Raw genomic sequence first — 14092 nt, forward strand, 5'->3', positions numbered from 1 at the left:
TTATTGACCAAGTCCACATGAGCTTGTATTTCCTGTTCATGGAGCCCTCTTCACGCCCTACAAACACTCACTAGGACTTTCATTCTATTCCATCTCATCAGAAGTCTTGCTGTCAGGGGTCACTGCTTGATCTTAGCTCTCACAGAATCAACCACCTATTTCCTCTAGTCTGAGGAAATACCACTTTTGTTGAGGTAGAAGGGGTGGATCACTCTCCTGTCTTTCAACACTTTGAGCTATTTCATTGCCCTTGAGACTTGAAAAGTGAAACATTTGTCTCTCCATCGGGACAAGTGAAGCCTCCAGTACATAAAGTCCCACTGCAATCTTGAAATGGCAAAAGGAAAATTGCCTCTCAAGAAAATAAGCCCTACTATGTGCCAGGCACTTTGTTAGCTTTTTGTTTGTTTGTTTGTTTGTTTGGAGACAGGGTCTCCCTGTGTTGCCAAGGATGGACTCCTCCCACCTCAGTCTCCCGAGTAACTGGGACTAATACTGTACCTGGCTACTTTGTTAGATACTTTTTGGTTTGTTTTTTTTTTTTTTTTTTTGAGACAGGTCATGCTGTGTCACCTAGGCTGGAGTGCAGTGGCACAATCACAGCTCATTGCAGCCTCGACCTCCCAGGCTCAAGCAATACTCCCACCTCAGCCTCCCAAGTAGCTGGGACTACAGGTTTGTGCCACTACACCCAGTTAATTTTGTTGTTTGTAGAGACAAGGTCTTTGAGACAGCCTGTTGCCCAGGCTGGTCTCAAACTCTTGGACTCAAGTAATCCTCCCACTTCAACCTCCCAAAGTGCTAGAATTACAGGCATGAGCCACTGTGCCCAGCCTGTTAGATACCTTTAAAAGCGATTTTATTTGTAAGAATCCTCTCCCAGTTTGCAGATGAGATCTAAGAAACTAATAATGACACACGATATAGGAGAGAACAGTAACAAAAGCAAAACTGTACCAACCAATTTCTCTGTGCCAGGGACCACTTTGAGTGCCTTACATGCATCAACTCACATAATCCCCCACAACCCTGCAAGGTAGGTACCATTCTTCACCATTTTACAGATAAAGAAACAGAGGCACAGAGAGGTCAGATAACCCACCAAGGTCCGCAGAAAGTTTTAGAGCCAGGATGTGAAACACAGGGAGCCTTGGCCTTGGAGCTCATGATCTGAATCATCACAGACACAAGCACAGCTGCCTAGGTGGAAAACTGCTGGAAATGTGTGTTAGGAAAAAAGGTTGGATGAATAAAGGGTCTTCAAGACAAGCAGAAGAGGCCGGGCATGGTGGCTCACACCTGTAATCCCAGAACTTTGGGAGGCTGAGATGGGCGGATCACTTGAGGCCAGGAGTTCGAGACCAGCCTGGGCAACATGAGAAAGCCCCGTCTCTATGAAAAACGCAGGCCGGGCACAGTGACTCACACCTGTAATCCCAGCACTTGGGAGGGCAAGGCAAGCAGATCACCTGAGGTCAGGAGTTCAGCCTGGCCAACATGGTGAAACCCCGTCTCTACTAAAAATACAAAAATTAGCCGGGCATGGTGGCATGTGCCTGTAATCCCAGCTACTTGGGATCCTGAGGCAGGAGAATCACTTGAACCCAGGAGGCGGAGGTTGCAGTGAGCCAAGATCACACCACTGCATTTCAGCCTGGGCAACAGAACGAGACTGTCTGAAAAAAAAAAAGAAAGAAAGATAAAAAAAAAAGACAGGCAGAAAAATCTGAATTTGTGATCAAAGCTAAAAAATGAACGTGTCTTTTTGTTCAGCTTTTCTGCGCTGTAATATACAGCGGTCTTTATTGTAGGATCCATGGATAGATCTCAGAGAATCCCAAACCTCCTGAAGTTTTAGTGTCCTTGTATCAATGCACGTATTTCTGGGAAGATAGTCTAGAGTTTTTATCAGATTCTTAATGGCGGGGGGCAGTTCCTGTCCTCCAAGGGCTAAGAACATTGGAGTATGAATACCAATGGCTGAAGGCTCTGTTGAGCCACTTAGCTTTACTCTTGAAACTTGGAGCCAGGCCAGGCGCGGTGGCTCACCTTGTAATCCCAGCACTTTGGAAGGCCGAGGTGGGCGGATCACGAGGTCAGGAGATGGAGACCACGGTGAAACCCCATCTCTACTAAAAATACAAAAAATTAGCTGGGCGTGGTGGCGGGTGCCTGTAGTCCCAGCTACTCGGAGAGGCTGAGGCAGGAGAATGGCATGAACCCGGGAGGCGGAGCTTGCAGTGAGCCGAGATCGTGCCACTGCACTCCAGCCTGGGCGACAGAGCGAGACTCCGTCTCAAAAAAAAAAAAAAAAAAAAACTTGGAGCCTATGTTTCTTCATCTGTAAAACAGGAATAATAATATCTACCTTCATGAGTTGCAAAAATTAAATTATGTTATTATTATAAATCATAATATGCACAAGCCATACTGTATGAAACTCAAATTAAAATGTGCAAAGACTATAAAATATCATAAAACAAATGTGAGTTATGACAATGAAATCTGTGTTTTAATATTTTCCCAGTAGCCGGGTGTGATGGTTCATGCCTGTAATCCCAGCACTTTGGAAGGCCGAGGCGGGCGGATCACCTGAGGTCAGGAGTTCAAGACCAGCCTGGTCAACATGGTGAAACTCAGTCTCTACTAAAAATACAAAAATTAGCCAGGTGTGGTGGCAGGCGCCTGTAATCACAGCTACTTGGGAGACTGCGGCAGGAGAATCGCTTGAACCCGGGAGGCAGAGGTTGCAGTGAGCCGAGATCGTGCCACTGCACTGCAACCTGGGGGACAAGAGTGAGACTTCGTCTCAAAAAAAAGAAAAAAATTTCCCAGTAATATGATGAATTAGATACCCGAGTGATCCTTCTGATGATAAAAAACTAAATTATTGTATAAAGTTTTTAATTTTTTTTATTATGTTGCTGAGCTGCATGAAAGTAAGAAATAAGCCCCAAAATGAAGTGAAACCAGGAACTATGGAAAAAGGAAAGTAAATACCAACATCGTGTTTAACCCTCAGGATGCCTGCCAAACCCCAGAGACCTTAACATCCTCCTTTCATGTTTGCATAGGATACCTGGGGGACAGGAGATAAATCCCAAGGCTTCTCCAAAATGGGAACTCTTAATAGGAGACCCCGGAGGGTCATAACTACAGTGTAAGAGCTAAGGTAAAATAAATCGGCTGGGCGTGGTGGCTCACGCTTGTAATCCCCGCACTTTGGGAGGCTGAGGCAGGCAGATTGCTTGAGCTTACAAGTTGGAGACCAGCCCGGGCAACATGATGAAACTCCTTCTCTCCAAAAACTATAAAAAATTAGCTGGGTGTGATGGCGTGTGTCCACCAGGAGGCTGAGGTGGGAGGATGGTTTGAGCCCAGGAGGCAGAGGTTGCAGTGCGCTAAGATCATGCCACTGCACTCCAGCCTGGGCAATAGAGCCAGACTTTGTCTCAGAAAATAAATAAATAAATAAATAAATAAATAAACCATAGCGCTCAGATGGGAGGTCCAATGAAATCTTCCTATATCAACTCTGGCCCTGGAAAGAGAAGAAAATAAAATCACCTTTAAGAATTCATAGCTTTTGGCTAGGCGCGGTGTCTCAAGCCTGCAATCCCAGTACTTTGGGAGGCCGAGGCGGGCGGATCATGAAGTCAGGAGATCAAGACCATCCTGGGTAACATAGCGAAACCCTGTCACTACTGAAAAAAAAACAAAAATTAGCTGGGTGTGGTGGCATGTGCCTGTAATCCCAGCTACTCGGGAGGCTGAGGCAAGAGAATCGCTTGAACCCGGGAGGCGGAGGTTGCGGTGAGCTGAGATTGTGTCACTGCACTCCAGCCTGGTGACAAAGCTAGACTCTGTCTCAAAAAAAAAAAAAAAAAAGAATTCATAACTTTTGGCTGGATGCAGTGGCTCATGCCTATAATCCCAGCACTTTGGGAGGCTGAGGCAGACGGATCACCTGAGTTCAGGAGTTCAAGACCAGCCTGGCCAACATGGTGAAACCCCACCTCTACCAAAAATACAAAAATTAGCCGGGAGTGATGGTGCACACCTGTAGTCCCAGCTACTTGGGAGGCTGAGGCAGGAGAATCGCTTGAACTCGGGAGGCAGAGTTTGCAGTGAACTGAGCTCACACCACTGCACTCCAGCCTGGGTGACAGAGCAAGACTCCATCTCAAAAAAAAAAAAAAAAAAAAAACTTCATAACTTTCCAAGAAACAAAGAGTTCATAACTTTCAAGCCAGCTCTCTCATGAAATCCCAAGTCAAATCATATTACTATGTAATCCTAAAATCCTCAGAGAATTTAAAATTTAAAGTGATATGAGTTGGTAGTACTAGCACATTATTGACAGAAATCATTTCAAATTGTCTCTGAAGAAACTCAACTTCAACACAAGTCTAAAATAATTCCCACAGATTTCCAAACAACATGAGCAGCTAGTGACAAAAAATAACTGAACACAAGATAATAAGGGACCATGAGAAAGAACAAGCAGGATTGGGAGGCGGTGGAAACAGACCTTCAAAGATATTGAAATTATCAGACAGAATAAAAGATAATCTTGCTTAATATGTTTAAGGAAATAGGCCAGGCATGTGGCTCACACCTGTAATCCTAGCACTTGGGCGGTTGAGGCGGGCAGATCATTTGAGCTCTGGAGTTCCAGACCAGCCTGGGCAACATGGCAAAACTCCGTCTCTACAACACATACAAAAATTAGCCGGGCATCATGGCACCCACCGGTAGTCTCAGCTACTTGGGGACCTGAGGCAGGAGGATAGCTTGGGCCCAAGAGGTGGAGGCTGCAGTGAGCCGAGATCACACCACTGCACTGTAGCCTACGTGACAAAGTGAGACCCTGTCTCATTAAAAAAAAAAAGAAAAGAAGGACAGAAAGAAAGAAAGGACTTGATACTATGTGTTAGCAAGTAAATTTCCAAAAGAACCAAATACAATTTCTGAAAATGAAAAAATTATGCTAACTGAAATGGAAAACTCAGTAAACAGACTCATCATTAGGTTAGAATTGTTGAGATAACCATTAAAAAAACCAGACCTAGAACCAATAACCTCCAAACTAACAGTGGGGAAAAAAATCAATGTTTAAAAAAGTGTTTTTTAGGCTGGGTACGGTGGCTCACACCTGTAATCCCAGCACTTTGGGAGGCCGAGGTGGGAGGATCACTTGAGGTCAGGAGTTTGAGACCAGCCAGGCCAACATGGTGAAACCCCGTATCTACTAAAAATACAAAAATTAGCCGGGCATGGTGGCACATGCCTGTAATCCCAGCTACTTGGGAGGCTGAGGCAGGAGAATCGCTTGAACCCAAGAGTCAGAGGTTGCAGTGAGCCGAAATCACGCCACTACACTCCAGCTTGGGCAACAAGAGTGAGACACCATCTTAAAAAAAAAGTAGTTTTTTTTTTAAGAGAAAGGGAAAGTACAGCAAATAGAATGTACATTACAAATGAGTGAAATAAATAAAAATATAGCAATATCTACAAGTGGGCTAAATTCTCCAAAGATAAAGGATGTCAGACTAAATAAAAGAATAAAATCCACTATTAATATGTTCTGTTTACAAAGACAAATCTAAAATATCAGGACATAGATTGGCAAAGTTTAGAAAAAGAAATACTTGGCAAAAAAAAATGAGGATGAAATAGCTATATTGAAGCTAAAAGCATCACTAGAGATAGTTTCTACCTAATGATAAAAGTTCCATTCATCAGAGAAAGAGATAATATTTCTAAACTGGCACACATTTAATTAACACTGCCTGTCAACACTTCACTGTCTTTATTACTGTAGAATTAAATAAGTGAACCCTTAACATCATCCTTGGCACATAGCAAGTGCTTAATAAATGTCAGTGATAGCAGCAGCAGGAACATACTCTGTGACTGGTGAAGCCATTTGACTTCTATGAGCCTTAGTTACCTCTTCTGAAAAGTGGCCATAATAATAAATTATTTTTTCAAGTTGCTTTGCAAACCAAATGAGAATAATGTATGTGAAGATGTTTCATACACTACAGAGAACAATATAAACGCAGAAATCGCTGCTCTTATCAGTTAACTGGTATTACAAGCAGCAGTGTCAAGGTAAGCAACCATCTGAGCAGTCCCCAGGTGAAACAGCAGCTCTGAGGATGTCCAGGTGTGCGCAGCAAGACCAGGCAGCGGGGCGGCCCCCTATGCTAGTGAAGCTCAGGAAGAGCCCGTGGGCGAAGTGGTATCAGGAAAGCTTCTTGGAGGGTGAAGCCCGCCCTCTGGTGGATAACCCTTGTTCAAACTCAATCAGACGAGCTTTCCAGAGGTCCTTGGGGAAACCGTTCCTCAATCTGAGTCTCACATCTCCCCAATCCCATGGTCTTGCTTTCTGCAGATCTTCTGGGGTAGGGTGGGATAATTTTGGAAACAAAATTATTGTGACCTGTGCCTCATGGTGCCAAGCTCACCTAAACTCAGAGTCCTTCCGTTAGGGGCAGTCTTTAAACGGTAAGCAATTTACCATAGGTCCCCACAGTGCACCACTAGCCAAGGCTTGGACTCCCATCTCCCAGTGACCTATCCTTTTTAGATCACTAGGAATGGCAAGCGTGGCCTCTCTAGCTCAACCGACCAGGCTCGAAGGTCTGGAGTGACTATTGTCCATCTGCGTGTCCTGCATTAAACTGGAATGGCCTGACCTTTACACCCCACCTCCTTCAATCACCAGATACAGGCTGCCCTAGGAAGGGTGGGAGCTTGGCTGAGTGGGCTCTCAGCCACTGAGGCAGACCCTGAAGGAGGTGACAGCGGCAGGCCATCTGCTAACTGCACCCCCTACTAGTGGGCAGCAGTGGACACCATTGAAAGCTGCTGTCTACAAGAACCCGCCCATACACACTGAAGGCGCAGCCCCTTCAGAATTCCTCTGGCCCTCTTCCCAAGAGGGAACTTAGTGGAGGAACGCCAGTGGGACGAACTACAGCCCCCACCACGGCAGTCCGTCCTGGGGCTGCAGGTGATGGCCCTCATCTCCCTCCTCCTCCATTGGTTCTAGACTCCCCTCACCCTCAGCTGCCACTTCTGCTGGCCTCAGTGGCTCACGTGGTGGTGGGATCCAGACCTTCATCCCCAAGAAGCCTGAGCCCCTGGTCATCACGCCCTTCTCAGGCCAGAGTTGCATGACCTGTCCATTTGCAGTTATAGTGGAACAAAGGAACACCAAGAAGCACCTGAGCAGATCACCCTGGATCCACAGGGATCCTTCTTGCCCCCACTGTATAAGAGCAGCCTTATTCCTATTTATAATCAGGGTGAAACACCTGTGCCAATGCCAAGACAGGGGTGCCAAGACCCTGCTTCTTTTTTTTTTTTTTTTTTTTAAGACGGAGTCTCCCTCTGTTGCCCAAGCTGGAGCGTAGTGGTGTGATCTCGGCTGACTGCAACCTCTGCCTCCTGGATTCTCATGCCTCAGCCCCCATGTAGCTGGGACCACAGGCGCGCGCCACCACACCCGACTAATTTTTGTATTTTTAGTAGAGACAAGGTTTCACCATGTTGGCCAGGCTAGTCTCGAACTCCTGAACTCAGGTGATCCATCCACCTCACCCTCCCAAAATGCTGGGATTACAGGCATGAGCCACTGTACCCAGCGACCCCTGTTCTTGATGGCTAGTCCTGGACACAAGCAGCTCAGAGCACCCAGGAGGTAGACACTGGTTATAATTTAATGCAGATCTGTTTTTCTTTTTCTTTCTTTTTTTTTGAGGGTAGGGGGATGGGGGTCTTACTATCTTGGCCAGGTTGGTCTTGAACTCCTGGCCTCAAGTGATCCTCCCACCTCGGCCTCCCAAAGTGCTGGGATTACAGGCATGAGCCACCATGCTCAGCCCTTCAATACATATCTTTTTGGGAAAAATGTGCCCCCTTGTAGGACCAGGACCTCTAACCCTGCAGAGCCCAGAGTTGCAGGGCTGGCAAGTACAAAGTCTCCCTCTGGGCCACTGGAGTAACAGTAAGTGGGGTCACTCTTCCTTCCACCCCTTGGTTCCTGTACTCCTTTTTTCTTCCTGTACATCTTTCTTCTTCTCCTTTTTTCTTCTCCTGTACTTCTTTTTACTCATCCAAGGAAGGGCCTGCTGCCCATCTGCAGGGAGAGTAGGCAGCTGACTGCCTATGGCCATCACCTCCCTCAGGGTCTGCCTCAGCTGCTGAGATCCGCCTTCCCCAAGGTCATGCTCTTCCCAGGGCAGACCACCTCTGGTGATTGAGGGAGATGAGAGTACCAAGTTCTGGCCTTTTGACCCAAAGTGGGACACTGATGGGCAATCCTCACTCCAAAGCATCGGCTGAGCAAAGACCTTTATCTTTTTGTTTTCTTTTTTTCTTCATTTTCTTAAAACAGAGATGGGGTCTTGCTACATTGTCCAGTCTGCTCTCAAGGTCCTGGGCTCAAGTGATCCTCCCACCTCGGCCCCCCAGAGTGCTGGGATTATAGGCATGAGCCACCGTGCCAGCCTGAACAAAGACCATGTAAACATGGCATTGGGTAAATACAAAAATTAGCTGGGTGTGGTGGTGCACACCTGTAATCCCAGCTACTTGGGAGGCTGAGGCAGGAGAATCACTTGAACCCGGGAGGTGGAGGTTGCAGTGAGCCGAGATTGCGCCACTGCACTCCAGCCTGGCTACAGAGCGAGACTCTCTTAAAAAAACAAGTCTTAAAGGAGGGGAAGGAGTCAGCAAAGCACGTAACTGAAGGAAAAGCATTCCTAGCAGAGTCCACAGGCCCCCAGGTGGAGCGTGGTTGTTGTGTTAGAGGAACAGACAAGGAAGACATGTGCATCTGGACAGGGAGGATGGCAGGCGGGGAGGGCAGGGAGCTCACAGGGCGTGGCCACGGGAAGCCTGCAGGCTGCTAAGGATTTGTCTTTATCTCGAGTGAAATGGGGAACCTTTTTCAGAGTTTTGAGCAGAGAAGTGACATGACTGATATATTTTTAAAGAATTGATCTAGAGTGGCATTGAGAATAGACTCTATGCAGGATGAGGTTAGAAAGAGAGAGACTTACTAGAGACTACCACAGCTGGGTGCGGTGGCTCACGCCTGTAATCCCAGCACTTTGGGAGGCCCAAAGCAGGTGGATCACTTGAGGTCAGAAGTTCGAGACCAGCCTGGCCAACACGATGAAACCTCACATCTACTAAAAATACAAATATTAGCTGGGTGTGGTGGTGGGTGCCTGTAGTTCCAGCTACTCAGGAGGCTGAGGCATGAGAATCACTTGAACTGGGAGGCGGAGGTCGCAGTGAGCCAAAATTGAACCACTGCACTCCAGCCCAGGTGACAGAGTGAGACTCCATCTCAACAAATAAAAATAAAATAATAGAGACGACTACAGTCCCAGGCAAGAGGGGACGGTGGCATGGACCAGGGCAGAAGGAGTGGAGCAGGAGAGAGTGCTCTAAATCTGGATGGATTTCAAAGATACAGCCTACAGATGCTGATGTATCAGATGTGGAATGAAAGAGAGAGAGACAGGTCAAAGGTTAGCCAAAAGGTTAGCCCTGGCCTGAGCAATTGGACAGGTGCTGAGTTAGGGAAGGTTTGAATGAGATGAGGAAGTCAGTGGCAGAACAGGTTTGTGAAAGAGCGAGGTTTTTCCGTAGTTTTGGACATGGGAATCTTGGGTTTCCAGATACTAGCATTACTTTAAGGCCAACATCTAGTACTTCCTAAATGGTCTGAATTGCCCCTTCCTTCTTCCTTGGGGGAAGTTTTACAGTACGTACATGTGGCAGTGCTGTGAGGTCCTTCTTTAAGGGACCTGGCCTCCTGTTCAATCAGAGCTTCAGGTCTGTGGACTGGCTGAGATCTGGAAATCAGCTGAGAGGCTGAGATGCTCCTTCATGACAATTCAAGTCAGGCCTCTGGCCATGACATGGAGGCTTTTCTGTTTTATAACTCAATAACATTTAACACACTGCTCATCCACTTCATTCCTAGGGACACTCCAGTCAAAGATCCCTGCAAGTCACAGGGTTCTGGTTGTCACTCCATCCCACTGCATGTTACAGTGAAGGCCCCTTGACTCTGGCAGTTCAGCTCTGCCACTTGGCTTCTGCCCCTCTGGGACCCCATCACCCCCAATGAGATCAGAGAGCCCATCTCAGTGGTGGCCTCTTCCAATATGCCCAAGAACAAAGGACATCCACCATAAAATTTGTCAAGGATGCAGATGTTACTGTCAATAATGCTTTCTCAACTCCTAGGTGAAGAGCGTATCCTCTGGGCCCTCTCAGGGAATCCACAGAGGGATTGGGGTACATGCACTCAGAGGGATCAGGGAATCCACAGAGGGATCAGGGAATGCACTCAGAGGGGTCGGGGAATCCACAGAAGGATCGGGGAATGCACTCAGAGGGATCAGGGAATCCACAGAGGGATCGGTGTATAGGCACTCAGAGGGATTGGGGTATATGCACTTTCTTTTTTTTTTTGAGATGGAGTGTCATTCTCTCTCCCAGGCTGGAGTGCAGTCGCATGATCTTGGCTCACTGCAACCTCCACCACCCCAGGTTCAAGCAATTTTCCTGCCTCAGCCTCTCGAGTAGCTGGGACTACAGGCATGCGCCACCACGCCCAGCTACTTTTTGTATTTTTAGTAGAGACAGGGTTTCACCATGTTGGTCAGGCTGGTCTGGAACTCCCGACCTCAGGTGATCCACCCACCTCAACCTCCCAAAGTGCTGGGATTACAGGCGTGAGCCACTGTGCCTGGCCCACAGACTTTCATCTAAGTTTTCTCCAATATTCTTGTCTTTTGAGACCTTAGGAATTTAGCCAGGTGTCTCAACCTCACTGATATAGGTCACGTTGAGTACTAATCTCAGTTGACCAAACAAGCAAACTATTAGAGCTACTTTCAGCTGCAAGAGGTAACCCATTAAATCTAGAATCTCTAATAAGAGCATTCATACCAATAAATTCAGATTGATCCAGTGTTCTCTTCTTTCCTCCATGACTCTAGCCCAGATCTACTAACTTAGGGTCTCTGAGAACGAGAGCCTGGCATTAGCCTTGTTATCAAGCTCCCCATGTAAATTTTTTTTTCTCTCTCTTTTTTAATTGTAGAGACAGGGTCTCACGATGTTGCCCAGGCCAGTCTCAAACTCCCAGGCTCAAGTGACCCTCCTGCCTCGGCCTCCCAAAGTGCTGGGATTACAGGCATGAGCCACCACACCTGGCCTCCACATACATTTTTATGTAGCCAACTGGAATCCACCCAAGGAATGGCATTTGGGAACCCTGAGTCTAATCCACTTCCCTCCTTTCAACAGATCAGAAACTAGAGGCTCAAGAAAGTGACTTGCTCTAGACAAACAGTGAGTTAATGGTAAAGTCAGGACCAGAACTTTGGTCTCCTGACTTCTTAGGGGAATGTCTACTGCACTTCCAGAACAGCTTTAAACAAACCTGGAAGTATTTGGTCAGCATACCTTCCAAATTACCATGGAGATGGATTGGATGGTGAGCAAACTGAGGTTGTACATGTTCAGCGTTACAACCGTCATGAAAAAGGTGATCCTAGTTTAGGAGGGAATGATGTGCTTCTTTCAGGTTTATTTCAGTTGTAAGTGACTGAAAAATTAACCTGACAGAGTTAAGCCTGGGGATTGCCTTCCTTGGGTATAAAAGGGTAATTCCCCAGGGTTGGATATGTTCACTGTGACAAACACCTCCCTGATCATAGCTCAGTGCCCTCCTTAGAACTGGATAGAGGGGCCCCTGCCCTTTAAAGGACCCCATAACCCAGGTGTGGTGGTGCTGTGCCTGTAGTCCCAGCTACTCAAAAGGCTGAAACTTGAGCCCAGGAGTTCAAGGTTGCGGTGAGCTATCATCATGCTACTGCACTCCAGCCTGGGTGACAATGAGATCCTGTATCCAAAAATAAGTAAATAGGCCGGTGTCTCACGCCTGTAATTCCAGCACTTTGGGAGGCTGAGGCGGGAGGATCACCTGAGGTCAGGAGTTGGAGACCAGCCTGGCCAACACGGTGAAACCCCGTCTCTACTAAAAATACAAAAATTAGCTAGGCATGGTGGTGGGCGCCTGTAATCCCAGCTACTCTGGAGGCTGAGGCAGGAGCATCACTTGAACCCAGGAGACAGAAGTTGCAGTGAGCTGAGATCACGCCACTGCACTCCAGCCTGGGCAACAAGAGCAAAACTCCATCTCAAAAAAAAAAAAAAAAGTAAATAAATAAACAAAAATGAAAATAAAGGACCCCATATATCAAAAGCATCCAGAAAGGAACTTATTAAAAATCCCCTGGGACTCTGTCACGCAGGACCCAGTGCTCAGTGCCGCACAGTGGAAGCTGTAGCTCTCGACATCTGCTCTCACACCTAATTCCATTCAATCCAGAGAAACACATGCTTAACAACAAACAACCAAACACCATGCTTCTCCACATGTCTTGCCCTGTGTCCTTGAAGCAGAAGCCTACTGCATCCGAATGCCAGGAAAGTTAGTGTGTGGTGCTGCTGCTATTGTTGCAGAAAGAGCTGTTTGGAAGGTGGGAAAGACTCAGTGGTGGAAGCACTCAGGTAAGAGAAAAGACATCAATTAACTCATCAAATCCGTCCTCTCTGAGAGCAGGAGTGCTGTAGATTCTTGCATAAGAAAGTGTTGTTTCCCAGCAGTGCTGTGTCCATTTTCTCGATTCACCTCGTGTTCCAACTTGTAGCACAGCCCAGTATCCCCCGTTATACGCAGTTTAACTTTCCACAGTTTCAGTTACCCACAGTCAACGGTAGTTGGAAAATATTAAATGGAAAATTCCAGAAATAAACAATTCATAAGTTTTAAGTTGCATGCCGTTGTGAGTACAGTGATGAAATCACAGGCCATCCCTCTCCATCCCTTCTCCATCACAAGAAGCATAATACAATAAGATATTTTGAGAGACCACATTCACATAACTTTGTTTTTTTTTTTCAGAGACAGAGTCTTGCTCTATCGCCCAGGCTAGAGTGCAGTGGTGTGATCTCAGCTCACTGCAACCTCAGCCTCCCAGGTTCAAGCTATTCTCCTGCCTCAGCCTCCTGAGTAGTTGGGACTACAGATGCATGCCACCACCCTCGGCTAATTTTTGTATTTTTAGTAGAGACGGGGTTTCACTATGTTGGCCAGGCTGGTCTCGAACTCCTGACCTCGTGGATCTGCCCACCTCGGCCTCCCAGAGTGCTGGGATTACAGGTGTGAGCCACCATGCCCGGCCTTGAATAACTTTTATTGCAGTATATTGTTTTGTTATATTTCATTATGGGTTTTTGTTATTAATATCTTACTGTGCCTAATTTATAAATTAGACTTCATCATAGGTATGTATGAATAGGAAAAAATATAGTATATATAGGCTTTGGTAATAGCTGTGGATGCAGGGATCCCTTGGGGGTCTTGAAATATATCCCTCTCGGATAAGGGAGGACTACTGCATTTTCAAAAGAAGCATAGAATGGCTGAGGAACATTCTGCAACATGAAACAATTCATTTTACTCGTAAATTTGTAAGTGAAGGCTAGGCATAATATGCATGAAGCATGGTGCCAATTCCTTACTATTAATTCATGAATCTAGGTTTGCTTTATGAGATGTGAAAATTATGATGTAAGAGATAGGCGTGTATGTGATGACATTGACATATCTTGTAATGTGTCCTGTGTTCACCATCATTTATCATATGTACTCCATTTCAACATTTAAACCTGTTATGTAACATTCATAGTTCCTCTCTAAATTTAAATATTACTTTAATAGTTTCCTTTTTTTTTTTTTTTTTTTTTTTTTGAGACAGAGTCTCACCCTGTCGCCCAGGCTGGAGTGCAGTGGCGTGATCTTGGCTCACTGCAACCCCCGCCTCCCGGGTTCAAGCGATTCTTCTGCCTCAGTCTCAGGAGTAGCTGGGACTATAGGTGTGTGCCACCACGTCCGGGCTAATTTTTGTATTTTTAGTAGAGATGGGGTTTCACCATGTTGGCCAGGCTGGTCTCAAACTCAAGTGATCCACCTGCCTCCGCCACCCAA

Source organism: Homo sapiens, chromosome 1 (assembly GCF_000001405.40).
Source record: "Homo sapiens chromosome 1, GRCh38.p14 Primary Assembly".
In the NCBI taxonomy this organism is placed as follows: Eukaryota; Metazoa; Chordata; class Mammalia; order Primates; family Hominidae; genus Homo; species Homo sapiens.